This window comes from Homo sapiens, chromosome 2 (genome assembly GCF_000001405.40).
Source record: "Homo sapiens chromosome 2, GRCh38.p14 Primary Assembly".
Taxonomy (NCBI): Eukaryota; Metazoa; Chordata; class Mammalia; order Primates; family Hominidae; genus Homo; species Homo sapiens.
In genome coordinates, this window is record NC_000002.12 from 179428964 (window position 1) to 179451034 (window position 22071).

A 22071-nucleotide genomic window follows, 5' to 3' on the forward strand; every position below is an offset into this window, starting at 1 on the left:
TGACTCCTGATCTTCCTAAATGCCAAACTGGTCTTGTCTCTAAGGATTTTGACTTATCCTAAATTGTCAAGTTCCAGCATTGCCTAATAGCTTAGCTCCACTCCCTGTGTTTGCTTTTAATGAGCAGTATTTTACCTACGTCTCCAGATAGTGAGAGTAGGCGAGCAGGTTGCGTGGAATCAACACCGACTGGGACACCTGTGGATGACTGCCTCCTGCCTCAGTTACTAGCAAATCAACCCCCACTTCTGCCTCCCTGCTCGCGGAGGCCCCCACAGCAGCTCCACCTGTTTGGGGATGCCAGGCAGCTTACATCTACCGGCTTTATTAGTTGGCTGGAAACCTGCTCTCCCCCTCCAGGTCCTGGCACTCACAGATGATGGGTCTTAACTTCTGGGTGTGACGGTATGCAAACACGTGCACGGCATCCTTCCATTATCTGTTGGTTTCTCTCTTCAGTGGCTAATTTGCCCGGGGGCTCTGTAATGGGAGTCCAGGCATGGAGTTCTCGGTGAACAGGATTGCATTTCCGTCTGCAATGCATGTTTCCAGCTTTATTTTAGAAAATGTTCTAAGGGATGCAGAAAAGGGAATCACCCTGCATTTCTCTGAGATAGTCATGGCCAGAGCACAACATATTAGAGTTATCAGGGATGTCCCTAAATGAGAAAGCCCTTTGCCAAGGGTTTGTATTTGGCTAGCAAAATTCAAAAGAAGGAAAGAGAAAGGAGGGAGAGAGTCTCTGTCTCATAAAATATGGTTACTGTCCTGCTGTTGTCATGCTCTGTGTGAGGTTCCCCCTGTGGCTCACTTTATAGAATCTGATAATGGCATGAGGTTTCAGAAAGAAAACCAGATGACATCACCCCATGGAAGCAAAATTCACACTCAAAGCAGATAGAGATGATTTTTAACCTGTTCGAGATTTCAACAGACATCATGATTCAGAAGCATCTATGACTTTTTAGCATTAGTGTCTCCAGTCGTCATTTACTATTATTTATTAAATATGTGGGATCATCTTTCCCTACCTTCATCACCATAAAGATATAGCAAATGGACTAGGGTATCCAAATACTGCTATGTGATCAGAAAGCCATTTCATGAAAACCAATTCACGATTTTCATAAATTTAATACATGCCAATTTCCCAGTAGAATGCTGGTTACAGAGGCTGGTGGGTGGAGGGAATGGGGAGACGATGGCGAAAGGGTGCAAAATCTCAGAAGGAATACTGTTTTTTTCTTTTTTTTTTTTTGAGATCTATTGAACAGTGTGGTGAATATAGTTAATAATAAGAGTACTGAACATTTCAAAATTGCTAAGACAGTAAATTTTAAATGTTCTGACCATAAAAAATGTTACTTATTTGAGGTGACAAATATGTTAACTAGCTTGATTTAATTATTCCACATTGGATTTATAAATCATGAAATCACTTTGTACCCCATAAACTTATACAATTATAAATTGTTGATTTACAATAAGATATTCTTAAAAATTCCTCTGGTAATTTTTGGAGCCAACCATATAGGAATGTGTCAATTGTGGGAGTTAATTAATTTTTTTTGTTGTACTGCCATCAATGGTGGGACAGATTACTCTGTACCACTTTAGGAATTTTATGTTTATATAAATCATTTTAGCAGACTAGTTCCTAGAGTTTATTCTTTTCCATCAGTTTAGTAATTAATAAAAATGTTCTTCTTTCCAAGTCCTCATGGACACAACGCCAAATAAGAATGGTCTGGAAGCCCACACATGGGTAAAATTGGAAGATAATCTGATTAAGAAAAGCAAAAATCATTTAATCAAAATCTATTCTCCTCTCCCACCACTCACACACCTACTTACCAGGTTTATTTATTTTTTCCCCTGAGCTTGGGAGACACATTTTGCTCTCAAATAGAAGTGATCTGGGGCACCAAATGCCTCTGGGCTTTATATTTGTGGTCCTTCTTCTGCTCTGAATAACAGAGGGTTTCAAGCCTTTTGATGATTGTTAGGTCTGCTCATGAAGGTCACCTGGGGAGTCTCTTTGTTTTCCTGTCAATGCCAGGGGCTCATCATTTTAGATTAGGATTTAGTTGATCTAATGATGAGGGCATGGCTTTGATATTTTTTGGAATCTTCACAGGTAATTCTTAGCTAGGTTGAGAGCCCCTAGATTAAACTCATTTCAGCATTATCAGAAGGAGAATAAATCAGTTCAAGTTAAAACAAAGAGGCAAATGAAGGTAAAAGGAGCCTACTACCCCAATAACTGACTTTGCTTTCTTTGGGAGTCTTAATAATATCCTTCAGAGCCAGGTGGGAGTCTCATTTATTTCAGTATTCTTAGCACAGCACCTGAACATTTTATTTGTAGAATGAATTAAGAAGATTATGATTTATTTTCATGTTATAATAGTGATTCATAATAAATTTCCAGAAATCATTTATATGACATCCTCAACTTACAAACACTATGGAACAACGAAAAGTAAGAAAGAAAAGAAATGCTGTTGAGCAGCCAAAATAGATGTCAAAAAGACTAGGATGATTCTAGTACACTTTATTTCTGGGAGCATCCCTCAGGCTGCTCTGGGAGCTCTGTTCCTTTTTTACACACAGTTTTAACAGTCTTCTTCTCTGATTTCTCCATTCGTAGAAACTAAAAAGGGTAAAAAAATGACTACTTTGCAATTTGACACTAAAAAAATTATGCATTATAAAAGTAAATAGGGCCGGGCATGGTGGCTCACGCCTATAATCCCAGCACTTTGGGAGGCCGAGGTGGGCGGATCACAAGGTCAGGAGTTCGAGACCAGCCTGGCCAATATAGTGAACCCCGTCTCTACTAAAAATACAAAAATTAGCCGGGCATGGTGGCAGGTGCCTGTACTCCCAGCTACTTGGGAGGCTGAGGCAGAAGAATTGCTTGAACCTGGGAGGTGGAGGTTTTAGTGAGCTGAGAGCACATCGCTGCACTCCAGCCTGGGCAACAAAGCGAGACTCCATCTCAAAAAAAAAAAAAAAAAGTAAATAGTGGAACTCAGAGAATATTACAATCATGCTGGATACATGGAGATTATAAAAATAAACTCTTTGAATGAGTATCAAGTGAGCTTCTACCTAGTACCAGGCCCCAGTGTTCTTGCTCTTGAGATGCTTCAAGTGTAATAACATTATAAACATGATGCTGTCATCACTGCTGCTACTGCTGCTGCTTGGTTTTTGTTGTCCAAAACATTTCATAGTTTTTATTACTGAGGCCCTAGTTCAGGCCATTCTCATGGCCTCAGAACTCTTTCTCTGATACGTATAACTTCCTCCAATCCCTCTTTTATATTGCTTCCAGAAAGATCTCCCTAAATGCAAATCCCATCATATTAGTACCAATTAGAAACCTCTAGCAATCCCCACAAGCTACAGGATTTAGCATAGACCACTGTATAAGTCTCTTCATGATTGATCCATATCTATCTCCCAGCCTCCTTGTACCTCTCCTACTTCTCATTTCAAGCTCTATGAACTGCTCTGGTTCTCTCCATACACTGTACTATCTTCATGCCATGCTTTCTCACTGGATGCCTTTTCTTCTTGCCATTTTAGCTACCTGAATCTCCAGGAAGTTTTTCTCAGCACCTACTCAAGCCACACATATGCCAACCACCTAGCTAGGCTAGTTATCTTCCCTTTTATCTTACCATACATTGAAATAATGTTCATATGTGTTTACTTTCATGGTCACTTCCTCCTCTCCACTGCCCTTCTTCCTTTCCTACTTCCCAGCATTTTAAGAAACCAGAAGGTGGGAATCATCTGTTTACCATCTTTTCAGTGTTTGATATAAACAATAAGTGACAGTTGAATGGAACTAAATTAAAAGCTCTTTTCCATTCATTTTTCCATTTTTGTAACTCAGATGTCATGTCTCAGCAGGAGTCTCTGTACGTAGTTCACAAGCTCTGTGTTTTTACAAATGGTTTCCAGGATTTGGCCGTGGAATATGATGCTCTGACAGTGATACGGCAAAGTCATGGGGAGCATTGGAGATGGCATGAGCTGCCTGGGATAAATTTGTAAAAGTTTTAGTTTCTGTGAGCCTTGATTCCTTGTCTGTTTTTTGGATATGTGCAGTGCCTGACATGCCAAAGATAGAATAGCTAAAAATGTATTGAGCACTTACTATAATTGTTTTTATTTGATCTCCACAATACATTTTGGCAAATGCAAGGCAAGTAGTAGTATTCCCATTTTATAGAGGAGGACGTGGAGTCTCAAACTGGCTTAAGGTAACATGCCCGGTAAGTACTGGTTCTGCTGACAAAAACTTAGAAATTCTGATTTTTAGTTCATTGTTTTTTCCATGACTATATGACATCCACATATGTGCCACAAATTATGGTTTTAATGATGAACTTGACTCATCAAGAAAAGATTGTAGCCAGTATACCATGTTGCAAATGATATACTTGCTATAATATACTGCACAGGCAAGACCATAGGTAATAACTTTTAGAAAGTGTTCCAGCCAAAAGTTTAAATAAAACCAAGAGAAAAGAAGTTCTGAAGGGACTAAGATTCATGTATTATAAAAAATAAGCTTACACTGAACACCTTATCCCCTGAGTTATAAATCAAGTATTATTATAGCCAAATTTTAGTATTATTGTAGTAGATTTATTAAGAAATTAGGATAATAGGACAGAGAGGTTCCTTCAGTTGTGTTCTCAATTACTGATTGTCCTTTAGTTAAAGTCATGCTTTGCCTAGTCCATAATAGCAATGGGCAAATTTTAGAGACCTTGCATTGAAAGCCGTCTTCAGTAATCCTCCTGTTAGTTTTCTAGAATTGCTACCTAAGAACTAGCCTAAATCTTTCATAAATACCTAAAACCACTTTTCTTTTATTTCTATTCTTAAATTAGAGGTTATCTGGTTCCTTTACTTGTCTTGACTCACTGGGTCCTCTTCCATATTATAAACTATTTTTTTTTTGTTTTGTTTTGAGATGGAGTCTCGCTCTGTCACCAGGCTGGAGTGTGGTGGCACAATCTCGGGTCACTGCAACCTCTGCCTCCTGGGTTCAAGTGATTCTCCTGCCTCAGCCTCTGAGTAGCTGGGACCACAGGCACCCATCACCACACCTGGCTAATTTTTGTATTTTTAGTAGAGACAGGGTTTCACCATGTAGGCCAGGATGGTCTCGATCTCCTAACCTCGTGATCCACCTGCCTTAGCCTCCCAAAATGTTGGGATTACAGGCATGAGCAACTGTGCCTGGCCTGGTTTTTTTTGTTTTTTTTTTTTTTTGTTGTTGTTTGTTTGTTTTTTTAAAGTAAGGGCTATAAACCAGATTCTGTTTGTGAGGGGGAAACAAGTGAATTGATTCCCAGGGCATTAAAAAATCTTTATTTTTTACCAAAAAATATTTGGTTGTTTGAGATGGACCTCCTTGGAGCCCTAGTCTGAAGTTGGGTCTACTCAGTATAATCTTTGGAAATGTTTATTGCTTTAATCTGGGCCTCACATACAGCACTGCCTAGATGCGGCAGTATAATAGGTATCCTTTCAAATGAAGCTAATAAAGCTTCTTTAATCTTATGAGCTAGACTGTTCTGCCTTCTCCTGGTTACACTAGGGGGCACCTGCTATGATGCAGATTTCTGGGAGCCACTTACACCTTCCTGAATAATAATCTCTAGGGTGGGACTCTGGCATCTGCATTTTAATAATCTTTCCAGGTGATTGTTCTACACACTATCTTTGAGAATCTGTGATCCAGGTTGTATTTTGCACCTCAGTGACTAGTGGGTCAGTTTATGTTTTTTGCCTGTAGATGAAGCAAACAACCACCCTATTGAAAAGTTCTCGCGCTCTGGCCTGAGAGTGGTACTTTTGCACTCTTACTTGGTGTTCTGCTTCCAAACTGATTTCAGTGCTTAGCTGCCCGCTATATTGATTTTAAAATGGGCTCAGCCATGTTGGGAATTCTAAGAGTGAGAGTTAAAGCTAGCCTTTTGTTTTAACAAAGGCGTGAACTTGGCTACCAGCTATCCATAATGATACTGCCTCTCAGGAGAGACTCTTATTACCAGGAGCCATGAGGAAGAGTCTACTGATCTTTATCCTGAAGAGCTAGAAATCAAAATGCAAAGTGTTTCTTCACTAGAGGGTTCTCTTATTTATCATGCAAGCTTTGATTTTAACATTCAGTCTCATACGTGCCATGTGTTTATATTTAGTGGAAAGTGAAACCATCATTGGCATCCAAATTGTGAATTCTCTTAGGGAGGGCATCCGAATGGAATTCCGACTCCTTGAAGGAAAGAGAGCTTGTGTTTTACAACATCCTTTTATCATTTGAAACTTTTGGGTCCTGTAGGTTAAATGTTGTCAGTTGCTCTTCAAGGAGATTTTACCAGCTATTTGCACTCCTCTAGTCCGTGCTCTTTTCATGTCAGACAAATATGCCTAAGATGGTAGGCATCTCAAAGAGGAAAAAGAAAGGCTGCCTTTTTTTTTCCAGTTCACCAAACTATATATTTTATAGTACAAATGCACTTCCAATCAACAGTAAAAGACAAATGTATTTTATTCTAATAACAATGTCATTATTAGCATAAATAGGCACAATTTCTCAGTTTTTAAAAATAGAGCCATATGAAACTATGCCCTGGTTATACAATTCCCAAAAAACTGGTGCTTAGTTATAAAAAGCATGGCATTGTTGGGGCAAGAGAAAAGCCCAGAACCTAGGAGAAATGTGGGAAAAGTCCGTGTGAATGGCATTGAGAGTCATAGGCCTCAAGAAACCATTTACATTATTTAAGCAAATTGGGTGTTTCCTCTTTCATAGTAACTGTATTACAGTTTCTTAACTTGTAAGGAAAACAGAAAAAAAAAAAATCTGAAGTAACACTAAACGTCTTAACTTGCTTTTTATATTTATAACCAACCATTCTTATTTGATATTTATTATATGCTTATTTTCTAATTATAATTTCATAGAGTCCTTTGAAATTGTCACTGTGTCACTATAAGTGAAAAGTATATGTTTTTATTACAGTGGGACAACTGATTATATTTGCGTGATTCTGAAACAGTGACATATTCATTGTAAAAAATTCAAACTGTACCAAAAATTATAATCAAAATATAAAGCCATAGAGAAATCTACAACTCAAGGGTAACTTCTTTTATCAGTGAGGATTAACCACTTTTATCAGACATCTCTCCATGCATAAATACAAACACGCAGGTGTAGTTTTAAAATTTAGGCCAGGTGCAGTGGCTTACGCCTGTAATCTGAGCAATTTAGGAGGCTGAGGCAGGCGGATCTCCTGAGGTCATGGGTTTGAGAACAGCCTGCCCAACATGCCAAAACCCCTTCTCTACTAAAAATACAAACAATTAGCCAGGAGTGGTGGTGGGTGCCTGTAATCCTAGCTACTTGGGAAGCTGAGGCAGGAGAATCGCTTGAACCCGGGAGGTGGAGGTTGCAGTGAGCCAAGATCAGTGCCACTGCACTCCAGCGTGGGTGACAAGAGCGAAACTCCAAAAAAAAATTAACGGGAATGTGATCACACTCAGGATGCATTCTGCAACCATTTATTTTTCCCACTTAGACATATATGATTGATATCTTTTCATGTCAATAATTGGAGATGTTGTCATTTTTAATGGCCTTGTTGTTTCCGACTGCATGTTTGTTCCCTAGTTTTTTTTTTAACTCCTGTCCTAGGCATGAACTTATTTTTTCCTATTTCAAAGCATACTTGTGCATAAATCTTTTTAAATTTACATAGTTATAGTCTTAGAATAAAATCTTGGACATGGAATTTCTGGGCCAAAATTTAGGCATAACTAACATGATGATTGATACATACGACCAACCATCCTTCCAGAAAAGTTGAAGCAATTTTCATTTACTACGAACAGTGTATGGATATGTCTATTTCCCTACCCTCTTTAATACCAGGTTTAAAAAAATTAGAAAATTTATTTGCTAATATGCTAGATCAAAAACATGTTGATTTCATTCATATTACTTCAGTAAGGAGAAACATCTTCTCCTATTAGGCATTTGTGTATATTTTATCTTTTTTGGTTTGCCTTTTTGTCTGGTTTTCTATGAGATAATTTCTTTTTTGAAAGAGTTCACCTACCGCATTTTATGAGTTCTCTGTATACGAATATGAACCTTTGTAAGTCAAAAGGATTGTAAATATTTTCCCTAGTTTGTTTTGTATGTTTAAATAGTCTTCATAGTATTTTAAGTTTTTTAAAACAGTGTTTTTACACAGTGTTTTACAGGTTTTTACATCAGTGATGAGTTTTTTATTTTTCGTAACAGGAGTTGTGATTTTTTTTACAATGTAAGGAAGTTTTTTATTTTTTAAAACTTGAGATTATGTTTTTCTTATGTGGAATATAAGATATAAAATTCAAACATTCTTGTGATAAGCAAACATTTTGCATTTACTTTGGCTCTGTTATCTTATTACTTCAATTTGGATTATACCTTTGAGACTAGGAGCATAAACATACAATTGATGAATTTGTTATTTCTTCTTTACAGATAAATTTTTCTCTGAGTCTAGGTCACCACTAAAGACTTAAAATTGGCTAATTTGACATAAAAAAGAATGAAATCATGTTCCTTGCAGCAACCTCGGTGCAGCTGGAGGGCATTATCCTAAGTGAAATAACGCAGAAACAGAAAATCAGATTCTGCATATTTTCACTTGGGAGCTAAACGATGAGTACACATGGACATAAAGATGGAAACACCAGGCACTGGGGACTCCATAAGTGGGGAAGAAGGGAGGGGGGGCAAGTTGAAAAACTGCCTATTGGGTCCTATGTTCATTAGAAGCCCAAACCCCCAGCATCATGCCATACATATATATATAAAATTATTATATATAATATATAAATATATATTTTATATATATATTTGTTCATTAGAAGCCCAAACCCCAGCATCATGCCATATATATATAAAATATTATATATATAATATATAAATATATATTATATTTGTTATATATATATAATATATATTATATTTGTTATATATATATAATAAATATAATATATATTTATTATATATATATAACAAATATATATATTTGTTATATATATAAAATATATATAACGTTATATATATAAAATATATATAATGTTATATATATAAAATGTTTTATATATATATAACAAACCTACACATGTATCCACTGAACCTATAATAAAATAAATAAATGCAAGGTAGCAAAAAGTTGGCTAATTTGAGAGAATCTTATAATTTACAAATTTAAAATGAAAAAAATTATTTGACTTATCCATTTACTATGCAAATTTATATAGCATGTAATAATGTACAAAAAACATTCTCACATGTTTAGTTATATGTGCTTCTTAGAATCACCCTGTGAGTTGAATACTATTATATCTATTTTATATATGTGAAAAACTGAGGCTTTGGGGAAACAACATACAATATTTTTCTGACATAAGATCACTGAACTAATGTGCGTATGACATGATCAGGATTTGAATTCAGGTCTTTGCAAATTATGTATTTTTCTTATTTACTTCTGCTATATCCTAATTTTACTTTTTCACTATAATAAAAATAAACAGCAGATGCTTAATGTCAAGCTTGTCGAATTATCTGTTAAGTGACTTCTTAAAATGAAAAATATGACATGAAGATATTTTCATTGCACCTACAGAAGGAATTCTGACGACTAGAGGTTTTATGCATTTTGAGCACTTAGCTAGGAATAGAAGAATACATCAGTCATTCTGGCTGTAGAAATGTTAGCCAAAGACATAAAGGCAATTACCAAGTCACACTCCATAGCTGCTGAGAACCTGCAATGACATGTCCTTGATGAATTCCCCTATGGAGCTAATTACATGGAGGAGGGAAGGAGGCAAACGTAGCATCCCCTGTGGAATTTGCTCTTGCACTGCACAGCTTCTCCTCAACCCACCACGGTACTAGAAACTAATATTTTCCCAAAGAGACATGACACCTCTGACATCGAGGGACATCATATTAACAAAACAAGGATCAGATGGAAGAAACACTGTTAAGAAAAGCCAGAATCCACACAGACCTGCAGAGATGGAGTGAAATCCTTCACCCTGTCACCTGAAGATGCCTGTGCTTATCTACGGTGTATATTCCTTGAGGCTAACTTAATCTTTATCCGTCAAACAGCTCCTGGACACTTCTTTCCTCCCCGCATGTTTCTTCTCCCTGATGGCACCCCAGGCAGTGGGTGCCCATTTTCCAAAAGATCCCCAAATTCAATCTCCTTGGTCAGTCTCTTTAGGCTCCCTTTGGGAGTCTGCACAACAGGATTTCCATCTGATGCTCTGCCAGGTCTTTCTCCTTCGTTTGTTCGTTTTTCCAGTGGGAATTTTCTTGGTTCTCTTTCCCAGTGACATTGAATGCAGTATAGTTTTTTTGCGTTTTGTTTTAAACACTATCTGAGAGAAAAATTCGACATAACCGTATCTATTTCTGCTCTGAAAAGCCAGAATTCATTTAGGGTAGAAAAGAAAATCAACGGTGCTGTGGATGGTGAATAAGACAAATTAAAATTGTTTTTTCCTTTTACAATAGTTTAATTTTGATAGACAGCTATCACTGTAGCTTTAAGTAAGAGGCATCTGCAGTTACATTTTCCCCCTTGCTGGTCCTATGCAAAGTCAATATATCATTGACTTTTACTTCACGCAGGTTCCTTCCTCTGCCTATTTGTGAGTATATATTACAATGTGCCTTTAAAAAACTCATTATTTTCTTTTTAATACTCAAGAGGTTGTTTCTCTCCTAAAGCATCATGGTTCTTGAGATGAGGAGAAATCCTCCTGAGAAAAAGGTTGCCACATTTAGCAAATAAAAATATAGGATGCCCACTTAAATTTGACTTTTAGATAAACAATAAATAATCTTCTAGTATAAGTAGGTCCCAAATATTGCATGTGTATTTATGAAACATACTTCTGCAATGTGCAATATTGTACTAAACATTATTTAAAATATTACACCAAACAATTATTCATTGTTTATTTGAAATTCAAATTTAACTGGGTAGTTTATGTTTTATCTGGCAACCCTACCTGAGACCGGTTTTCCGATTCTACAGAGACCAGAACTAGACTGTGTCAGAGGAAGCAGTATGTTTTTTAACTTTCACAATAAGTGAAGTAGAGTGGCACTCTTTTCTCATTAGAAATAGCATAGGAAGAGGTGTTAGTTCAAATACGTATATCCTTTCCAGGGTTGACCCACACTAGCACTTCAGAATCAGGGTGGACGATGAGATATATGTGTTTAATAGTGTTTTATAAATAATTGCTTGAAGCTACTCACGGCTTCTTTTGAAAGCATTCATTTTAATTAACTGGCATTCTTTTGTACTTCTTCCCTGAGGTAATTTTAACAAATCTTGACTCTATAGATCTAATCAGTAATTTCCTGAGTCTATTTAAATACTGCCATTTACAAATTTTTGAGGATTGCAGTAAGCTTTAATGAAATGTAGGATAATGAAAGGTAAACAAAATATCATGGCCACTGAAGTCCCTAAAAATAAAAATAAAAAGTACTCCAAAGTGTTAAATGGAAACACAATTCCTTCAGGGCATGCTGTCTATAAATCACAACTGAAGGTCCAACCAAGGTTAAGTGTAACTAGTATTGTTAGACTTCAAATGAGTCATATTTTTAAAAAACACCAAATTCTGAATATCAAACTGAAATCTTACTAGAGTCTGAAAGAAACCTGATTATAAGACTAAAATATTAAGGTCAACAATTTTCAGTTGGATAAACTCAAAGAGGAAGTCTATTGCCATGCATCACAGCTACACTGCCACCTACTGGCCTTAAATTTTTAGAAATGAGAATCTAAGTCCCACTAATTCTCATTTTTAAAAACTGACAGGGTTTGCATGCAGGGTAGGGAGAAACAGGATCTGTAATGGTTTTGTAGCCACTCCCCTCCAAATTCTATAACAGTGTGGTCGATTAAAGATGGTGGCAAACTCTTTTTCTTCTTCACATTGGGAAACGACGTCTAATTTTCTTCCCCTTGAATCTGAATTGGTCTTAGTGACTTGCATGATCAATGGAATGCAGCAGAAGACGTGCTGGGAGTTTCAACACTACTTCTTGATTTTTACCCAGGACTCTTAAAATGTTCTCTCTGCTACTATGTAACTAGCTGCTACAACAAGGAGGATGCTGCGGAGGCCACATGGAAGTCCTTTGGTAGATGGTTCCAGTAAGGCTCAACCTTGCAGTCATTTTTGACTGGGCAGACATATGAGTGAAGTCATCCTGGGCCCTCCAGCCCAGCCCGCCTGAGAGCCGAATACTAACAAAGGTACTCTATTGATGCCACCGGGAAGAGAAGAACAGCCCGGCCAAACCCTGCTGGAATTCTTGACCCATGAAATTCTGATATAACTAGTTATCAAATGGCTATTATTTTAAGCTACTAAGTTTTAGAGCAGTCTTGTAAGCAGCAATAATTTACCAGAACACACAGTGATATATTGATCTTTGTACTTAAAAGCAACAGAATGAGGTGGAAGAAAAGGAGGATGTGCTGATTGGAGAAGGCAAAGGAGGAGAAGTGGAAAAAATTCTCTGAAAAGAGATCATAAATGCCACGGACACCAATAAAAGATGAACTAGAGATTTAGAGGACCCACAGTAAGTTAAAAAAAATCCGAGTCCAAAGTTTTTTGCAGGCTGCTACTGTGATTTTGGGTGACTCAACAACTTTGGCCCAACTTCTTAGAGATTCAGAGAGAAAATGGCAGTAAAATTTCACCTCATGCAGATGCTGTGAACAGTAATGAATAAACATGACAAATAAATATGCTGCAAACAAGAGCTAAAAATGCTATGTAAGAAGCAATCTTTGCACCTACTAAAAATCTTTCATCAGATGATTTCAAATTGGAGGTGTCTCAGGAGAAAAAAAACACTGAAAATACAAACAGATTTTATTTTTTGTACTTTTATTGAAAAGGTACATTTAAAAAAATACACAGACATTTTACCATTTACAGGTTGCAGATATAGATGCTCTAAAAGAGTCCACTCTATTTTGTTGTTCTATGATAACTCTTGCCCCTGATATCACAAACATTCCAGTCTTGTTGATATCGGCTTAGAAAGGGGGGCATGGGAGCATGACCTGCAATATATTCAGCGAACAGAAAGACAAATTGTTCAATTATAAATTTTTTTATCTTCTGTACATTATTGCATTAGGGAGCCACAAAATTATGTAGCATCATTACAAATGAAAACAGGTTAAAAATGAAGAAGATACTTATATAGAAATACATGGATTCATTGTCTTCTTGCAGAATGCACAAGAGGTGCAAAAATGTGCAATTTAGGAAGCTCTTTTTCTGTTTGTATACGTTTGCTTAGCAACACAAACCAGTGAGGAAGCTACAAAATAAGTTAAACAAAAATAGCAAACAGGTAGTAATTATAGCTATGTTATATGGCTTTCTATTTCATTTAAATATCTCCAAATAAAATGTGAAATAAAGAAAATACATTATTTTATCTTTTATTCTCTTACAGAGAAAATTCAAAGCTACTTTGCTTCCTAACATTTACACAGCAACTAAAAATGTTTAATTCAGACAAGAGATACAGATCTAGTACTACACAGGATACAGCAGTACTTGGGTCGAAACAGTACACAATCCCTGTCAACAACAGTACACCAAAAAGAGAACTTTGTGATCCGTTGGTAAGATAGTATCCACAAGTAAGCACTTGTGTTCACTGTTTTTTGTTCCACACTAGAATACACCCAGTTGGATACCAGAGTTATTTACAGACATCTGAGGAAGATCCTAGTTTTCAAGTCTGTCAGGAAAATATTCCATATTGTTTTAAGCCAGATCATACCCATGGAAAAATAGAGAATGGTTTTCTTTCTTTTTCTTTCTGACCAATACATGCTCAAGAAATCAAATATCTGAGATACACAAATTGAACGCGGTAGGGTGGGGGAGGAAGTAGGGAGATAAAGCCTATGCTGCTGATTCCTCAATTATAGGAGCAGTCTCTAAAAGCCCTCGTCAATCTAGTGATGTGTTTCTCTCTGGAATTGGGGGACTGGGTGGTGGGCTGCATTTTGTGGGTGAATGGGGGGTACTGCAACACAAACTGCTTAAATTGCTGAATCCTTGTGGCTTTCTTTCTCAACTTCCTACTGGCCTCAAACGTCTTGGGGTTTGCAGACGTTAGTACGGAGCAAAGAGGATGGAGGCAGGAGTGGCGCGGATGGGCCCATGCCCAGGCCTCAGAAGAGCTGGAGGAATGGCTGGAGCCTGGAAGAGCGAGGCAGAGGGCCGGGGTGGGAGTGACAGCGCTGAGGACACGGCTGCCGCCGCTGCGAGAGGTGAGGACAGGAAGGCTGGGGCCAAAGGCTTCATCATATCTTTCTGGAATGCAAGTTTTGCCTAAGGGAGGGAGAAAACCAGGAATGGGGTGGAGATCCTGTTTTTGAATAACAGCACCACAGGCATCTTTTCATAAGTAAAACACCAACATTAAGAAGTCTTAAATTTTGAAAATCTTCACTCTCAGAAGTCAAGAAATCATTATTTTCACAATGCTGGTTTCAGTGGCTCATGGCATAGCTTTCTTTTATTTGGTGGTCTTTGCTCCTGTGTGCTAGGGCACAGGGAAAGGCCTCTGAATAAATTCTAAAGCTATTTTATGCTGCTGCTCACCAGGAAAAAAAACATGCCCAGAAGTTTCCTGCTTAGATGATGAAGTTCAATGCAAAATTCAGGCTTGTCTTAAACCATGACGAGACCTAGAGACTTTTGTTTTGTTTTTTGAGAATAAGTGTGATCCTTCCCTTCTCTTAGATAAGCTGCATTGAGGTTAGGTAATGAGTTCAGGACTTTAGGGACCCTGAAGAGTCAAGAAAACAGTCAGTTCACACCTCTCTCACTGGCTACTTAATGAGTAGTCCTTGAAAAATCACAGCTAAATCAAATTTCTGTTGTTGAGAATGATTGTAAGTGGGTAGAAACTCTCTATTTAACGGAATGCCAGGATGGAATCCTCCTGTGAAGAAATCAATCCTTAATTTCTCTCTCTTGCAATCAGGAGGAGCATTGCAAGCTGGATTTGCTTAATGCAGGTAACACCTGCTTGCAGCATCAGACAGAGGCTTTGGAGAAGCTGGAAGGTAATCTCAGAATTGCCTCCAGCTGGACAAGCTCAGCTTCATCCTCAGACTGAACACTGCACTGGGCCCAGTCCCAGGGAGATTGTGAAATCTATCCATCTTGGTATTTATATGACACTTATTGCTGGAGTCCCTAGGTGTTTTTGCAAAGACACTGAAAATAGCACATATTGAGAGCAGATAAAACAGGCTAATTACCAACATGCCTGCTAGAATGGAGAGAGCACACGATACAGACACCGCTTTACCTTCTCATGCCAAATAATAATAATAATAAAAAACAGAAAGCATGAGGATATTAAATTAAATGGATGGATTTTTGTTTTATGAAAGAAATCCCTCTTTCCAGGTTCAGCATTCCAGGATTCCTTAGGCATCACTTGTCCTTGTTCTTGAGCCTTTACTTTATATGCTAAAGAGGATAGTCTTTTGAAAACAACTTGGTAAAGAGTAAAATATTAGCTCTTAAAGAGGTTCAGTTTCTGTTTTCTAAGTAAGTTGCCCTATAGCAGGAACTAAGCAGTTCATTCTAAAACTTCTGTCTATGAGGGCTATTTAAATTTGAAACCTTTCATGACATTAGACTCTATGCCCTCCTTGCCCACAATGGCTGCCCAACCCAGCAAGGCTGCCCCACAAAACAGGTGAGCAGGTGAGGTAAACTTACTGCTAGAATACTCGGGCTCCGCTGGAGTTTGTTGTAAGGGCTGTATTTTGGCTTCAGTGGTTTCCCTGCAACTCGATCTTTATGCCTTCGGCTAGAAATGTGCTGAAAAAGTTTGATGCATTAGCTGGACTGAAATGTGAGTCTTATTCCATGTAAAACGTATTTCTAGGTAGCTATTTTCTCCATTGCCAACTCTAGGTCCATAGTTCCACGATGGTGTGGGTAAAATCATTATGATTTCTAAATTAAGACTTAGTCCTCCCTCAATTGTAATGCCCCTCTGTCCCCCTCCTGTTCTCTATAGCCCTTATCAGATTTTGCCTGGTATTACCACTGTTACTGATGAGTCTCTCTAATCAGATTTTGAGCCTTTGGAAGATAGGCTTAACATCTTACCTTACCAGAAGCTCCTGCTCAACTGTAGGCTCCAGTGACTACTGTTCCTATCTCTCCAACATCTAGCCTGGAACCTGACATATAGTAACAGTAGATGCTCAAATATTTCATACTGACTTTTTCTTCCATGTTAGCACCTATATGTTGCATATTGTCTGCATCCTACAAAAGTTAGTCAACTTAACTGTGAGCACAGTAAAAACCATTCTATAGATGAGAAGATACACAGTCAAGTGGTGACCTAAAACAATAATGTTTACTAATTCAGGATACGTTACCTGTTTGAGTTGAATTTCTGAATTAACATGAACATCACAGATTTCACAATGAAATGTCTTGTTCTGTAGTCCTGACCCCTTACTGCCATTCTGCATCTTTAATCTTGATCCAGGTCTAGGATAGGATTTAATTGGACCAGCCCCATTACGAGCTTCAACCATGGTCTTGTGTTTAGATCCTAAGACAGAAAGAGACACATATTAAATAGCTATCCAAGAATTATATAAAGCTCTTTGTTTTCTTATCCTTGAGAAGTTTACCTGCAGGCTAAAATTCCCAATGCTTTTTTAAAAATGATCACTTTAATGCTGATTTTAAATTTAACACGTTATTGTAAAAAATGGAAAAATGTAAGCGTATATAATAAAGAAAATATACAGAAACATAAGGAAATAAAGATGACTCATATTTTCACTACTCAGAGGTAACCACTATTATCATTCTAGGGTATTTCTTGTCAGTTTCTTTTTTTTAATGTACTAAAAACAGTTTTCATAATGGGGATCATACTAATTAAATATCCTGAAAATTTCACATAGCAAATCATGTACATATTTTCTGATCATTATGTTTTAATGGCTGATTAACATGTATCATATTGGGTTACTATATTCAGTATTTCCCTACTGGTGGGCTTTAGGTTGTTTCCATTTTTTTCTCTTTTAAGTGTATTGCAGTGAACACTGTGCATAAATATTTATCTTCATCTTTGTCACTTCATCAAAATGAGTTTTGGACAGTATTAGATGTTTTTAAGAAAATAAAGAATAGAACAAGTTTGATCTCCAAACTGCTTTTGTCTTGCTAGTTCCAAAGTCATATGATCATACTTTTCTAAAATCACTCCTTTGAATCAAAAAAGTAGAGAAGCATGGAACAAACCTAAGGTCTGAACAACAAAAGATATGGTATTCTGATGGGAAAAGTTGGGTTTTGTTATAAACATTATTTAAATGCAAAAGATAGCTGCTAACCTGTGTTGTGTGCCTCTAGCTGTGACAGGGAGTTCACAGCCACTTTGCATAGTGAACAATAAAGTAATTTTTTGGCTTTTTCTTCTTCTGATTCAACAACAGTACCGGGAGCTCCATTTGTGCTCTTGGAGGGAGAAGTGGCTGCTCCAGGTGGCAGGGGTGTTGTGCCAGATTTGAGGAGAAATGAGCCACTTTCAGAGCTTGATGGCTGACTGGAACTGCTGGCTTTTAACTTCCCTTTATCTTCTAAGAGAAACACAGAGAGATCTTATTGAAGCCTCATATATCATATAAACAAAGATAAATCACCATAGATGAATTAAAAATAGAAATTTGATTCTTATGTGAAGTTTTTATTGCAGCATAGATTTCAGTTTATAGAGGTTAAATCAACCTCTATGTTTAAATCAAACAGAACACTATGCCATCAGTTTCCATATTAGGTCATCCCAAGATAAGGATGACTTATGAAAAATGACTTTGTTCTCCCAGTTGGAGCAGGTAACTTTCTGTCTGAAATCCTTGAGTCATAAATTACTCTACAAGGAAATATTTATTATTAAACAAAACCACCTTCCCTCTGATACAATTACATGATATGAAGGTAACATGAAAGAAGCCATTAGGCCATGTTAGTTTCATTTGACTACTTATGTTTAATTATGACAGAGATAAGTTAAACTTAATTTTTATACCAAGTTAAAATTTTAACTGTGGATTGTGGGATAGAAGAAACATGGTTAATTTTGATTATGATTAGTTAAGTTTTTGCTGCTCTGTGGATGGCAATGCAATTTATCCAAAATATAAGAGACCAAGCTTCCATTCATTATCTTTATTAATTACCACCAGTCTAAATCAAAAGTTTTAAATAATGACATTAACCATAAGCACAATATGAAGATTAGCCAAGTCATTTAAAGACATTTTGGCAGTTTGATCATGTAGCTATTAAATGCTTATAATCCTCAAGGCCCATGTGCAGGCTATGAGAGTTAGAGTGACTTTAACAGAATCTAACTCATTGAAGTTCATTTGCTATTCAAGACAGGCTCTGTTCAGTGACTCCTTTGGGAAACAAACTGGGGCTTTGTAAGCAACAGCAAAATCCATCACACATTTAATCCTAGTAGAGCTGGTACTCTTAGAAAATGTCTATAGATATGCTGATTAACTCTCATAAAGAGAGAAAGGGAATTAAATCTGAGAATATATTTGCTAATTGCCTTAGCTAATTTGGAATTGTATACCATTGGCCTAGAAGACTAAGAGGGAAGGAGAGACTAGGCAACAGCAATGTGGTGTGTGTTTCTGTGTGTATGTTACAAGGTTCTGTATATGGGTAAACCTAAGCTTTTAGAACACATTGCAAATGATGGGAGATCATATTTCTACTAAAATATTACATAAAGAAAAGCCAAATTGATTTAGGAATCAGCAGTTGATTTCCATCCTTTTTTTTTTTTTTGAGTTGGATCCATTCAGGTTGAGACTAGACACAGCTAGAGGGTGCTATGGAGGGATTCCAAATCTGGGTTTACTTAGAATAAATGAATACTGAGATTCTTTTTTATTCTTAGGTTGCACATTCCATATTCCCTTTCAGTGACTGTACTAAAACTTCAGGATGACAAAAAATATGATGGAAAAGCTCTTAGACTTTTATTAAACTGACCTGTATAGTGTGAGAGAAGGACATAAAATGATTCTTCCTAATTGGTAATAGTCAGCAAATTAGATTGGATAATATTTTAGGCCTGGAACCCTCTCATCTATAAGGATCCCTCAGATTGAATTTGCAATCTTACAGAACTCATAAAGCAGCAAAATAATTCAGTAATCTTAATATTTGGAATTACTCAGTTTCTTGCGATGAAAATTAAAGTTATTACATACTAAAATCTTTCCTTGCTTCAAGCATTTCATATGAATTTGATCTAAAAGAATCTGATCTGTTTCAGCCATTGACAGCATTCTCTCATATTACTAATAATGTCCCTTATACTAATGTCCCTCATAAACCCTTAAATTTATATAGAACTTTACAGTTTACAAAGTGCTATCACTTACATTGTCTTATTAGCTCTCACAGAAAACTTGTGAAATAGGTAAGGCTCAAAATGATTATTCCTATCTTAAAGATGAGGAAACTGAGCCTTTTCAAAATTAAATAATGTCCCACAGATTAGTAAGTGGCATAAATGAGCATGATGTTTTCTCTAACTGATCAGTCTGTGGTACACTAATATTTCAGCACAAAAGGAGGACTTAATATATCACTAGTGATATAAAAGTACACAACAGTCACCCTAGATGTGAAATAGCAGTTGCTTTGTTTTACAATTGTAGGTTAGTTTTTAAAGTATATTTATTTGGCGTAAGTGAAAATATCTATCCTGCTCAACAATCATTTGATTTAGGTTATATTGAGAACATGTATAAAATTATATATTTTCTCTATGTTCCTATTTCTTTAAGAAAAAGATTTCCTTTTCATATCTTGTTTTCAAAGGGGTAATTTATGAATTAACAAGTACATATTAACAATATGTTAATTGCTGACAATGTGCTAGACACTAAAGAGAATAGTAAATAAAGTAAGTATGGACTATAAGAAAATTACAGCATAGCAGGAGGAAATGAGACAGTCATTCAAAGATCTCTAATTTACAACAGAAACTGGTAAGAGGCGTGAGAGCATAGAGCAGAAAATGATTACTTCCGCTTGGGAAGAATGAGACATTTTTCATTAAAGAAGTGACATTTTTAAGGTTTCGAAGGTCAGATTTGGATAAGCATAGAATAGGGTTGAAAATGAGTGAGAAGGCCATCGTCTCAGCCCAAAATCTCCTTAAGCTGATAGGTAACTTCAGCAAAGTCTCAGGATACAAAATCAATGTGCAAAAATCACAAGCATTCTTATACACCAATAACAGACAAACAGAGAGCCAAATCATTAGTGAACTCCCATTCACAATTGCTTCAAAGAGAATAAAATACCTAGGAATCCAACTTACAAGGGACATGAAGGACCTCTTCAAGGAGAACTAGAAACCACTGCTCAATGAAATAAAAGAGGATACAAACAAATGGAAGAACATTCCATGCTCATGGGTAGGAAGAATCAATATCGTGAAAATGGCCATACTGCCCAAGGTAATTTATAGATTCAATGCCATCCCCATCGAGCTACCAATGACTTTCTTCACAGAATTGGAAAATACTACTTTAAAGTTCACATGGAACCAAAAAAGAGCCCGCATCGCCAAGTCAATCCTAAGCCAAAAGAACAAAGCTGGAGGCATCATGCTACCTGACTTCAAACTATACCACAAGGCTACAGTAACCAAAACAGCATGGTACTGGTACCAAAACAGAGATATAGACCAATGGAACAGAACAGAGCCCTCAGAAATAATGCCGCATATCTACAACCATCTGATCTTTGACAAACCTGACAAAAACAAGAAATGGGGAAATGATTCCCTATTTAATAAATGGTGCTGGGAAAACTGGCTAGCCATATGTAGAAAGCTGAAACTGGATCCCTTCCTTACACCTTATACAAAAATTAATTCAAGATGGATTAAAGACTTAAATGTTAGACCTAAAACCATAAAAACCCTAGAAGAAAACCTAGGCAATACCATTCAGGACATAGGCATGGGCAAGGACTTCATGTCTAAAACACCAAAAGCAATGGCAACAAAAGCCAAAATTGACAAATGGGATCTAATTAAACTCAAGAGCTTCTGCACAGCAAAAGAAACTACCATCAGAGCGAACAGGCAACCTACAGAATGGGAGAAAATATTTGCAACCTACTCATCTGACAAAGGGCTAATATCCAGAATCTACAACGAACTCCAACAAATTTACAAAAAAACAAACAACCCCATCAAAAAGTGGGCGAAGGATATGAACAGACACTTCTCAAAAGAAGACATTTATACAGCCAAAAGACAAATGAAAAAATGCTCATCATCACTGGCCATCAGAGAAATGCAAATCAAAACCACAGTGAGATACCATCTCACACCAGTTAGAATGGCGATCATTAAAAAGTCAGGAAACAACAGGTGCTGGAGAGGATGTGGAGAAATAGGAACACTTTTACACTGTTGGTGGGACTGTAAACTAGTTCAACCATTGTGGAAGTCAGTGTGGCGATTCCTCAGGGATCTAGAACTAGAAATACCATTTGACCCAGCCATCCTATTACTGGGTATATACCCAAAGGATTATAAATCATGCTGCTATAAAGACATATGCACATGTATGTTTATTGTGGCACTATTCACAATAGCAAAGACTTGGAACCAACCTAAATGTCCAACAATGATAGACTGGATTAAGAAAATGTGGCACATATACACCATGGAATACTATGCAGCCATAAAAAGTGATGAGTTCATGTCCTTTGCAGGGACATGGATGAAGCTGGAAACCATCATTCTCAGCAAACTATCGCAAGGACAAAAAACCAAACACCACATGTTCTCACTCATAG

The 22071-nt window shown here is 36.9% G+C and overlaps 1 protein-coding gene across 21 annotated transcripts in view, besides 2 other annotated features; it reads right to left on the bottom strand.

The window, feature by feature from the left end:
- Positions 269-769: an enhancer, noted in NCBI's record as "H3K27ac hESC enhancer chr2:180293959-180294459 (GRCh37/hg19 assembly coordinates)". NCBI's record gives its function as "activates a minimal SCP1, AML or CMV promoter by ChIP-STARR-seq in naive H9 embryonic stem cells {active_cell/tissue: H9 hESC(naive)}" and the evidence as "EXISTENCE:reporter gene assay evidence [ECO:0000049][PMID:30033119]".
- The window catches only part of ZNF385B (zinc finger protein 385B), a 419631-nt gene continuing 410578 nt past the window's right edge, over positions 13019-22071 (bottom strand). For 18 of the 21 annotated variants that reach the window (NR_148057.2, NR_148054.2, NR_148059.1 and 15 more), the window contains 4 exons: positions 17562-17807; positions 16587-16765; positions 15913-16014; positions 13019-14505 (listed from right to left, as the gene is read on the bottom strand). Coding sequence is in view for 14 of the 21 variants with exons in the window: in NM_001352816.2 (NP_001339745.1) it covers positions 14287-14505; positions 15913-16014; positions 16587-16765; positions 17562-17807 (746 nt within the window). In the remaining 7 variants the exon portion in view is untranslated. The remainder of the gene's footprint in view (positions 14506-15912; positions 16015-16586; positions 16766-17561; positions 17808-22071) is intronic. The other 3 variants (NR_148056.2, NR_148058.2, NR_104234.2) reach the window with 2 other exon arrangements.
- Positions 14279-14573: a silencer, noted in NCBI's record as "tiled region #1228; HepG2 Repressive non-DNase unmatched - State 23:Low, and K562 Repressive non-DNase unmatched - State 24:Quies". NCBI's record gives its function as "represses a minimal TATA promoter and a strong SV40 promoter by Sharpr-MPRA in HepG2 and K562 cells {active_cell/tissue: HepG2 | K562}" and the evidence as "EXISTENCE:reporter gene assay evidence [ECO:0000049][PMID:27701403]".